The sequence below is a fragment of the Homo sapiens genome, chromosome 11 (assembly GCF_000001405.40).
Source record: "Homo sapiens chromosome 11, GRCh38.p14 Primary Assembly".
Taxonomy (NCBI): domain Eukaryota; kingdom Metazoa; phylum Chordata; class Mammalia; order Primates; family Hominidae; genus Homo; species Homo sapiens.
In genome coordinates this window covers 60,158,505-60,170,120 of record NC_000011.10, presented here as the reverse complement: position 1 = coordinate 60,170,120, position 11,616 = coordinate 60,158,505, and the positions used below count along the sequence as shown (strand labels likewise).

The 11,616-nt window shown below is 39.3% G+C and overlaps 1 long non-coding RNA gene across 2 annotated transcripts, besides 1 other annotated feature; it reads left to right on the top strand.

The window, feature by feature from the left end:
* Positions 509–1,708: an enhancer, noted in NCBI's record as "P300/CBP strongly-dependent group 1 enhancer chr11:59935886-59937085 (GRCh37/hg19 assembly coordinates)". NCBI's record gives its function as "activates an origin of replication core promoter dependent on BRD2, BRD4, P300/CBP, MED14 and CDK7 cofactors, with strong dependence on P300/CBP, by STARR-seq in HCT116 cells {active_cell/tissue: HCT116}" and the evidence as "EXISTENCE:reporter gene assay evidence [ECO:0000049][PMID:35650434]".
* Positions 5,721–10,880, top strand: LINC02705 (long intergenic non-protein coding RNA 2705). 2 transcript variants are annotated; one of them, XR_950142.1, is made up of 4 exons: positions 5,721–8,777; positions 9,265–9,396; positions 9,739–9,842; positions 10,252–10,880. It is a non-coding gene; the product is annotated as a long intergenic non-protein coding RNA 2705 (long non-coding RNA). The 2 variants fall into 2 exon arrangements; XR_950141.1 differs by having other exon boundaries at positions 5,721–9,396.
* Positions 10,881–11,616: the final 736 nt, after the last annotated feature.

The window sequence follows — 11,616 nt, the reverse complement described above, 5'->3', positions numbered from 1 at the left end:
TGGAGACCATGACCAAACCCTATCTCTATAAAAAAAAAAAAAAAAAATTAGCCAGGTGTGGTGACACATGCCTGTAGTCCCAGCTACTCAAGAGGCTGAGGCAGGAAAATCACCTGAAACTGAGAGGTTGAGGCTCATTGAGCCATGATCTTGCCACTGCACTCTAGCTTGGTGGACAGAGCAAGACCTTGAAAAAACAAAAAAAAAGGAAAGAGAGGAAAAAAAAGAGAGAAAGAAAGTTGTAGAATGCTCTAAATAGGATGACTCAGACTGTGTAGGAAACATGTTTTCTCTTCCCTTTGCAGGAGAAAGATTTTAGAATTATTGGCCTTTCCCAATTTCTGCACAGTTGACTCTACTGACACCTTATGGTGATAACGAGGAACAACTTTTCTCCCAAGAGAAATAGAAAAAGGCAAAACAAGGTATCTGGAATTCACTGGAGGTATCTAACTTGACCACAGGAAATCACACTTGCTACCTTTGTCCTTTACAGTGTCTCCACATGTCATCAGTGAGGGGAAACTATGCATTTTTCAAAAGTTATTTATTATTGTAAGGAAAGTGGCTGTGCTTCAGTCAGGAGTAGGCCAAGGTAAACATCCGGTATGGTATGACACAGCGGGTTTGGAGCGCAGGTGCACAACCCCATGCATTATGTAACCATTTACTATAATCTGTTTGTGTGAGCTCATACCTGGCTTTGAGCCACTCTGTCTGTGAGTAATATAACTGCACTGCTGACTCTGTAGGACAGGAGAGAGAATAAAGCCACGTTCCAACTGCCTACAATCCAAGTGTTCTTTCAGCTACCCACCACGTGTCCACCAGCTCCCTTCAGAACCCAGCTCAGGTTGGAACCTGTCAATTGGCATAGTCAGTAGGATCCCAAGATGAGTGAGCCCTTGGCCTCAATGATCCCAGGTCAGCCATGTGGCCCCAGCATGTGTTGTGGTACCTGATGGTAGCTGTGCTGCTAGGATGGGCCTTGGTGGAAACATGGGTGGTGGTGGACAGGTCTCCTGTGAGCATGGAGAAGGCACTGAAGTACCTGTAAGCACAGAGCAATGAGAGGACAATACCTTTGCTGGCATAGTTCAATGGGCGTTTTTGACTGTACTACGGTAAGTGCACACTCAGTCCCTGCAGGATGCAGCAAAGGTAGGGGACCTCCAGGCACAAACAGAAACCCAGAGGCCCAGACACACAGCTTGGAATGAGAATTAGAGTCTGCCATTAGTGTGGGCTTGGGCCCACCATCCCAGTCAGAGACTCCTGCTCAGTCTGATACTGAGGAAGAAGAACATCAGTTGCGAGTTTGCCCAGTGGTCCATCAGAAAATAGAGCAGGAACAGTCATTGGGGCCCCAGGGTTGGGCTTGGGGACCCCCTACCATGACAGAGCACATGTCTTACAGTGCCTATACCCCAATTATATTGTGGGAATTAGATAAACAGTGTCAGCAGTGCTTGGGGGAACCCCTACCTGCCTCGATGCCTCATCTTTGGGATGAGGGAGCCAACAGCATCGTCTGCTCTGCCTCTGAAATGGAGAAGTTGGCTTCCATTATGACTCATCCCTCCCTCCGTCAGTGATTGCAGGTGAGCAGGTGGTTAGCACAGGGCAAGGCGACCACACCCTAATTGAATGGCTGATGGTGGCCATTTGAACGATATGGAAAGATGCCAAAGAAATACCAGAAACTGTGAGTAAATGGCAGTCGTATCTAGATTTAGTGCATGTAATTTGGGAGATGGGTGTGTGGCAGGCTGTTCCATCTGACTACCCAAGGGCCAAATGATGAACACTTTACCTCCCACATGAGGGACTTTGTGTTGGGCTCTGTGCCCCTGAGTGCCTTTGGTTCCCTGGCCACTGTCCTCACTCTATGTGGGGTGCTGCATACATAAGGTGACTACTTCCATGGCGGCCCTCAGGGAAGCAGAGGGCTGTAGGTGAGACCAGAGAGTCTGTGCCATAAAAAAGGGGAAAGTTTCCCTACTCCAGGGGGCTACCTCTTGGGACAAAATGCATCCCCAGTAGGTGACCTGCACACAGATGTAGATTGATTTGATTTTGGCTGGGGTTGCGTGAAAGAAAATTGATAAGCAACTCCATGAAGTACTGTTAACTTTGTGGAGGCAATTGTCCCCAGAGCAGCAATTCTGGAAAATGCCTAAGAGGGAGAAGGATGATGCATCCTGCAGGGACTGAGTGTCCCACCCAGACACTCCAGCTCAAGGACTACTAGAAGATGGGTGGAGGTATAAAGCCTTTTTTTTTTTTTTCGAGAGAGACGGAGTCTCACTCTGTCACCCAGGCTGGAGTGCAATGGCGTGATCTTGGCTCACTGCAAGCTCTGCCTCCCGGGTTCACACCATTCTCCTTCCTCAGCCTCCCGAGTAGCTGGGACTACAGGCATCTGCCACTGCGCCCAGCTAATTTTTTGTATTTTTAGTAGAGACGGGGTTTCACCGTGTTAGCCAGGATGGTCTCAATCTCCTGACCTCGTGATCCGCCCATCTCAGCCTCCCAAAGTGCTGGGATAACAGGCGTGAGCCACCACGCCCAGGCTGTTCTTGATTATTTAAAAAATTTAATATCTCAATACCAATTATACTATTTACTGTACATTTAAAATACATTTTCTTATTGCTTTCAGAAGTTTAATTTTATTATTTTTGGTAGGGTTTATTTCTGGGATGTGAAATTGGTTCAACATATACAAATCAATAAATATGATTCACCACATAAACAGAATTAAAAGCAAAAACCATATGACATCTCAATAGATGCAGAAAAAGGTTTTTGATAAAATTCACCATCCTTCATGTTAAAAATCCCTCAACAAATTAGGCATCAAAGGAACATAACTCAAAATAATAAGAGCCATCTATGACAAACCCACAGCCAACAGCCAGCATCATACTGAACTGGCAAAAGCAGGCAGCATTCCCCCTGAGAACTGGAAAAAGGCATGGATGATTATTCTCATCACTTCTATTCAGCATAGTACTGGAAGTTCTAGCCAGAGCAGTCAGGCAAGAGAAAGAAATAAAAGGCATCCAAATAGAAAGAGAGGAAGGAAGTCAAATTGTCTCTCTTCACAGACAACGTGATTCTATACTTATAAAATCCTAAAGACTCCAGCAAAAGGCTCCTAGAAATCATTAACAACTTCAGTAAAGTTTCAAGATACAAAATCAATGTAGAACCATTACTAGCATTTCTATATACCAATAATGTTCAAGCTGAAAGCCAAATTAAGAATGCAATCTCATTTACAATGCTACAAAAAGCATAACATACCAAGAGTAGAGCTAACCAAGTAGGTGAAAGATCTTTACAATAAGAACTACAAAACACTGCTGAAAGAAATCAGAGACGACATGAACAAATGAAAAAACAGTTCATGCTCATGGATAGAAATAATCAATATTGTTAAAATGGCCATACTTCTCCATGAATTTCTTTAAAAAATTGTATATATCGATTTTTATCAAAAGCTTTGTCTGCATACCTCTGTTGAGATTAACAAAGTCTTTTTTTCTTATTTGATGTGTTTCTGCAGTAAGTGATTTTCGAAGATTTTCTATTGTCAAATTATATATGAATAACTGGAATGAGTTCAATTTGGCCATGACCAAATGCTTTAAAAATACATCTTCCTATTCTATTTGCCACTTTTATTTTTCAGTTTCTTACATCTATATATATGAGGGAGAGTGATTTATAATTTCTCATTATCACACTGCTTATATTAGTTTTCTATTGTGCCTGTAACAAATTACCACAAGCTTTGTGACTTAAAACAATACAATTTTATCTTAGAGTTCTGTGGGTCAGGATACAACACTGGTCTCACTGGGCTAAAAATCAAGTTATCTACAGAACTACTTTCCTCTCTGGAGCTTCTAGGGAAAAAAATCCATGACCTTGCCTTTTCTAGCTCCTTGAGGCTGTCTCATTCATTGACTCATGGGCTTTTTCAAGGCTGGCAGTGGCAGATCATGTCCTTCTCATGTTGCACCTCTGACTATTCTTCTATCCTCAATTCTCTCTTAGACTTACCTGGGAAAGGTTCTCCACTTATAAGGACTCTTATTATTACATTAGAATTGCCATAATTCTCCAGGATAAACTCTGTGTTAAGATCAACTGCTTAGCAAACTTGATTCTATCTGTAACTTTTAAAATCATTTGCCAGATATCATAGCATACTCTCAGATTCCAGGGAGTAGGATGTGGATAACTTTGGGTACTATTATTCTTGGTAACATACTGCCTTTTTTGATGTTGTTATTGCAGAAAATAGAAGAAAAATAACAACTGTGTCCTGGCCGACACTGGCTGGGAGCTCATTGTCAGTAGACATGTGGTGAGGCAATGAGTCATAACCAACGTGGGTTTCTTTTTGTCCCATGAAAGATTTGGTGTGACATGAGCTGATGAAAAAGAACTTAATTCAAGTAATAAATTTATTTCTATTTTCACAAATTTGGAAGTTTTAAAATGGTACCCTGTTTCCTGGTTCCTTGAGAAGTTGTGGGGTTGAAAGGTGGGAAATCAAATGCATAATCAGCATCAGCATTACATTAAAGAGTACACGTGCAGGTTTGTTACATGGGTACATTACATGATGCTGAGGCTTGAGGTCCCAAAAATCCCATCACCCAGGCAGTAAGCATAGTACCCAACAGGGGCTCTTCAACCTGTTCCCCTCTCCCTCCCTTCCCCATCGAGTGAGTGGTCCTCAATGTCTATTGTTCCCATCTTTACATTCATATGTATTCAATATTTAGCTCCCACTTGCTAGTGAAAACAATGCAGTATTTGGTTTTCTGTTCTTCCGTTCATTTGCTTAGGATAATGGCCTCCAGTTCCATCCATGTTGCTGCCAAGGACAAGCTTTCATTGTTTTTTATGATCGCATAGTATTCCATGTTTTATATGTACCACAATTCCTTTATCCAATCCACCATGGACAGGCCCCTAGGTTGATTCCATGTCTTTGCTATCATGAGTAGCACTGCAATGAACATATGTGTGCATGTGTCTTTTTGATAGAATGAATTATTTTCCTTTGGGAAAACCCAGTAACAGGATTGCTGAGTCAAATGGTAGTTGTGTTTTTAGGTCTTCTAGGAATCACCACACTGCTTTCCACAGTGGCTGAACCAGTTTCCATTCCCACCAACAGTGTGTAAGTGTTCTCTTTTCTCCACAGCCTTGTCGGCATCTGTTGTTCTGTGACTTTTTAGTGATAGCCTTTATGACTGGTGTAAGATGGTATCTTATTGTGGTTTTGATTTGCATTTCTCTGATGATTCATGATGTTGAACATTTTTTCATATTTGTTGGTTGCTTGTATGTCTTCTTTTGAAAAGTGTCTGTGCATGTCCTTTTCCCATTTTTAATTGGATTTTTTTTTTTTTTTTTTTTTTGGTTTTTGCTTAAGATCCTTGTAGAAGCTGGATATTAGACCTTTGGCAGATGTATAGTTTGTGAGTACTTTTTCTCATTCTTAGGCTCTCTGTTTACTGGTAATTTCTTTTTTTGTTTTTTTTTTTTTTTTTTTTGAGACAGACCCAGGCTGGAGTGCAGTGGCACGATGTCCGCTCACTGCGAGCTCTGCCTCCTGGGTTTGCACCATTCTCCTGCCTCAGCCTCCTGAGTAGCTGGGACCACAGGTGCCCGCCACCATGCCCGGCTAACTTGTTTTTGTATTTTTAGTAGAGACGGGTTTTTTTTTTCTGGAAATACACATAAAAATCTAGAAATATAACACATTATAGAAATACCACAAGACCACATATCTGAGGGGAAATTAGAACCCTCTGTGGGGTTACTGTGCTGAGTTACACCCTAACAAATCTATCCCCAAAGACACCTTATAAGAGTGAACAGGACTTGCTAACCTAAATAGGTGTAGAGCTAGCACTACTCCAGGGAAGTGGAAATAGCAGCAAGTCAGCCAGGAAAAACAATAGAGGTGTAAATGAAGGGAATAATTAGGACACTAGAGCATAACCATCATCAACACTTGCCTTGTATCCTCATTTCGGAAGAACTGCTGAATGCTGGATATGAAAGCTAATGTCTTTGAGAGTCAGTGGACAAGTCTGTAACAGGGACATGCATCTATGCAAAAGCGACAGTGAGACTAACTCACGGAAGGGTATTGTGGAAAGTGGTGTCTTTACCATTGTTCTTTAATGGTCTGGTCCATGTGCCATGGATAACTAGTTTTCCTTGTGTTGCATCTAGCTGGGACTGGACAGAGAAACAACATCATATTGTATCCATGGAGATAGTTGAAAGTGCTGTAAAATGACATCCTGCAGTTGTTTTGTTTTGTTTTTGGTAAAAGCCTATCTAGTGATATCTGGGAGATATATACATATATATATACACACACACACACACATATAAAGATACACATATATATGTATATATACACATGCATGCTCACACACACACACACACACACACACACATATATATATCCAGGTATAAAGTGACATCTGTAATTTACCAATGAGTGGCCTCCAGTCACCACACTTAATTGGGAACATGTTTTCCATGGCAAAAACACAATTCTGTTGCAAAGAAAGAGAAAATTATGCTGTAATTTAACCAATTACACACACAATAGTGTAATGAACATTATGTTAATATCTTTGACTCTGAAATGGGATATCCAAGAGTTTTCTGGTTGATCGACAGAACCAGATGAAAACCAGTTTCTCCCCTGGAATGAGAAAATATATGAGGAGGCTGATATAAAGGCCCAAAAGATATTTTTGTCCAGAAACAAAATGAGAATTTTGCCTTACAAAATTAAACTTGGAAGTAAATGTTTCTATTATCATGTGTCTTGAACATCCAAATAAGTGCTTACAATGGAGAAAAAAATCAGTAAGTTAAAAGACACATATATATGTATATAGATATGTGCATATATATGTAAACATACATATGTGTATAGATATTCACCTATGTAAATTCTTGTGGAGGAATCATAGAATTAACATGATTTGTAGAGGGAATTTAGAGTCCAAGTTGAATTGTTTAAATGTTAATGGATGTCAGGATGTTATTAGGCTTATTGTTTTGTTTCAAATATTACAAAATATTTTATAAGAAAAATCCTGAAAAGATTTTAAGAAGTCCTTGGCAAAAAAAAAAGAAAAAGAAAAAGAAAAAAATACCAAGATGAGAGAGTGGATTGGGAAAGTGTTAGTAGCAAACTGATTTTTGTTTGTTTGTTTACATGATGTCAATCTTTTGGTTCTATGAAACATTTTTCCTACTGCCTTAAATATGATACACAATAAATTAACATTTGCCAACAATATGGTATTTTTCTTGAATTTTTGGAAACTTCTGAAGCATTCACTAAGGAGTTACCATTTTACAAGGATGAGAAAATAGAGCAGTCCAGTTACTGTGGCATAAGAAAAGACTTTGTCATACCTGGGGTTACAAGTCTAATGAAATCACATGAACCGGGAGGAGAGTTTTTCAAAAAAACAGAAGTAATAGTCGGGAAAGTATATTAAATAATTACAACTGTTATGTGATAAGATACACAATAAGGATTTTATAAAATACAATATTATTAAATAAAATCATGTTTTTAAGAAGATCCCTAATTCAGAAGCACTCATAATTTATAGTTAGTTTTTATTACATGAAGCCAGAGAAACATGAGTCCTATTAACAGTGAATCTGGCAAGCGAGACATGCATACTATTCAGGAGACACGGCAATGGAGGGGAGCTAGCATTGACAATGTGCTCTTACATTGATACTGTGTTAGCATGTGAGAAGTGAAGTTAGATTATTATATCAGGGATATATTACAAAACTTAAAAACATTGCAGATACCTATCTGGCAAGGAGAGTGAGATAAATCACAGGAAACTAGTGGCCCATGGGTCTAAGACAAAGTTTCATCACAAATTACACATCAGACAGGTATTCATCCTCTTTGAGGACTGTGAATTAGAGTCCACACACCAGAAAGGACAATAACTTCCATTGGTGTGCCCTGAAGAGATGCAAAGGTAGGAAGAGACCGTGCCTTATAGTAGTCCCATGTTTGATCTTACAAGGAGTCTAAGTGGAGATGATGTGAACGCCAGGCCTGTGGGGGTCACTGTAAACTGAGCTACAGGAAACTTGGGTATGGAAAAATATTGCCTGAAATTTTGCTGCAAATAGTCAGTTCTCTTTCTTTCTGGAATCTGAGCAGGAAGGTAAATGTCCAAATTTCGTTCATCAAGGCTTAGATACTTTGCATAAGGTCAGTAACACTGTGTTCCCTTGCCGAGGATTAGGCAGCTATAGTTCAGTGCAGATTTGTCCTAGCTGACTGCCTGGGTCAATACGAGAATGAGGATGTAAGTAAAAAATCCAGCTCTGCCCTAATCAAAGTTGTGGAAATAAAATATTATGAATATTATTTGATTATTTCAATCAAATATCATTATATTATTATGATATTATTTTCCAGAGACACAAAATCTCTTGCCACTACATTTTGATATTGATCAAGGAAAATATTTAGAAGTGGCTCTCCACTAAGCGTTTTCTCTCCTGGTGCCAACAGCAATACCTGGACATCAGAGGCAGATGCAGTCAAGGGAAGGATCATAAACTTTCTTTGGAAAGAGACCATCTTACTACCAAGCCAGTCGGGGGCTTGGATCTTGCCCTAACAGCAACTGAAGGATTTGAGGCTTTTTCTGAAAAGGCAGCCCCAGGTCCTAGGGGTGAGTGAACACGAGACCAGAGCACAGGCTTAGGGGAAAAGCATCATTTCCTGAGACAGGACTGAGATTTCCTCAAGATATCCACATTTTCCAGGTCACTGAGTATGGTAGAAAACTATCTGAACCTTTCTGAACTAAACAAACCTTACAAATTGACAAAATGAAAAGGGACTGAATAAAGCTGTTCATTATTGGAAGGAAAAAAAACACAAAAATGTTATCATTACTTATGTATTAGGTTGGTGCAAAAGTCACTGCGGTTTTTGCCATTAAAAGTAATGGCAAATATATAAATAAATAATAGTAAGATTAATTGCAGTATCCTGTGTTGGACAAGAGAACAGACAATGCATACATTTTTATCTTCCTGCAAGATATCTCAAGTTTGGAGTCTCGGAGGTGGGGAAGGAATTAATGTGCAATGATGTTAGAAAGGCCTTCACCCTGAGAAGATGCACCTCCTCACAGGATGTTTTTTACTCTCCAGGAGGCTCAGATCCTGATTGGGCTGATGACACGATGCCTGCGTCTCACAATGGCGCTTTTTGTTTCAACTGTTTATGCAGTTGGAGTTCTCCATATAATTAATATGAACTATCATTTATGGGGATCCTTCTCAGTGAGTACTAGTCATTGTTCTACTACTTCTAATTTCAGGTATCTGCAAATGACTTCATCATTTTCTCTTGAAAATCTATGCATTAATTTTAAATACCAAACTTGGACAATTGTTTGGGTAAATAATATTGACAAAAGAGTGGGAGAAGGTAGGAGATTATTTTAGGAAAGGGAGTGCCGATGGAAGCTCTGAGTTGATTCTCTTTAATCAGTTCTTTCCGTCTGGAGCACTGTGGAAATAGCAGCAAATCAGCCAGGAAAAACAATAGAGGTATAAATGAATTGAATAATTAGTACACAGAAGCATAACCATCATCAACACTGGGTTTGTATCCTCATTTAGGAAGAACTGCTGAATGCTGGATATGAAAGCTAATGTCTTTGAGAGTCAGTGGACAAGTCTGTAACAGGGGCTTTGCTGCTGGAAGGAAAGCGACCAAGGGTCTGGTAAGTGTCTTTTGGTTAAGCCTGAGAGTTCTAGCAAGAGACATTTCCTGAGCTGCAAGGATAAGACACATCAAACCTGGCTGGTTCTCTAAAGAGGCTCCCTAGAAATGTTCTCATGTAATCCTAATAAATTTTTCCCCTGTGACACTTAGGCAAGAATGATAGACTTAGCTCTGTGCTATGACATTCCATGTGCAATACAATCCCTGCATTGGAGCCTGATGTAATCAAGGCTTCCTCTATACCAGATGCTTCCTCCCCCCCAACATTTTTTTTTCCAGAGTGGGAGCACTGTCCAAGTTGATATCCAAATTCAAATCAACTGAGTTAAATGTCATTTTGTGGACTCTCAGAGACAGAAAGAACACGAGACTGTATATTTCCAAAAATCTTTTTCTCTCCTTTTCAGATCCAAGGCAGCCTGGGGATGAATACAGTCAGTGCCACCACAGCAGGAACAGGCACAGTTCTGATGGCTGTGGAAGTAATATATATCTTTTTAAGAAGAATTTGTATCTCTACTTATAGCACATTTTTTTCTGTAGTAAGTACTGTTGCACTAATACAATAATATAAATAGGTTTTATATTCAGGAGGTTTCCTTGTGAATTCTCACCATGGAGCTAACTGGAGTCATTGGACTTATACATATTGGACTATCTCTTGAAATTTACAGGATTTGGGCTTTTGAACCATGCCAGGAATAACGTACCGAAAAAAAAATAACCTCTTCTCTCTGACCACTCTGATGTTGTGTGCTTGGACAATGGAAAATGTTGTAAGGACTCAGAGTCCAGGGAGCACTTCCCTCTTGATTTGAAACACTAGCTGAAGAGAAAACAGAAAACTGACAGCTGTAGCTACACCATAATTTCCAAGGATTCTGAGCAACAAGCTAAGATGACTGGGTCATATACATTCATTTTCCTCAATGGCATCCACAGTGAGTGAGAAGTTCAGGGAGTTAAATGCAGGCTGTTGTGAAATAAGAAGCAACTGGTTTTAAAGACTAAAAGATACTTCTAAGCCAAACAAAAGCAAAACAAAACAAACAAAATACTATGAGGTGTAGGGATGGCTAAAACAAACAAACAAAATCAGTTTAGACACTTTGTCTAATCTGCCACTCTTTTTAAATATACATATATATATTTATATATATACGTGTGTATATATATGTAATAATAGTATATCTATATCTATAGTATATCTTACTGTGGTAAGAATATTTAACATGAGATTAGCAACCTAAAGCATTTTTGTGTACAAGATATTATTGTTGACTATAGGTACAATAGTGTACACAGGATCTCCAGAGCTTACTCATCTTGCTTGACTGAAGCTTTATATCTGTTGATTAGCAACTCCCCACTTTTGCTATCCTCAGATCCTGGTAACCAGCATTTCAGCCTCTGATTCTATGAGTCACACTATTTTAGATACCTCGTATGATTGGAATCACGCAATATTTGTCTTTCTGTGACTGGTTTTTATCGTATGCATCATGGCCTCAAGGTTCATTTATGTTGCAGTATATTGCAGAATTTCCTTCTTTCTAAAGCCTTAAAAAGGCCTTTCTTCATTATTGGAAGAAAAAAAGCAAAAGCATTATTTATTTATGTATTAGGTTGGCATATACCACATTTTCATATTTTGGCTACCATGAATAGTGATTAAATGAACATAGGAGTGCTAATATCTCTTGGGGATCCTGATTTTACTGTTTTGGGATTAATACCCAGAAATGGGATTGTTGGATCATATGGGAGTTATT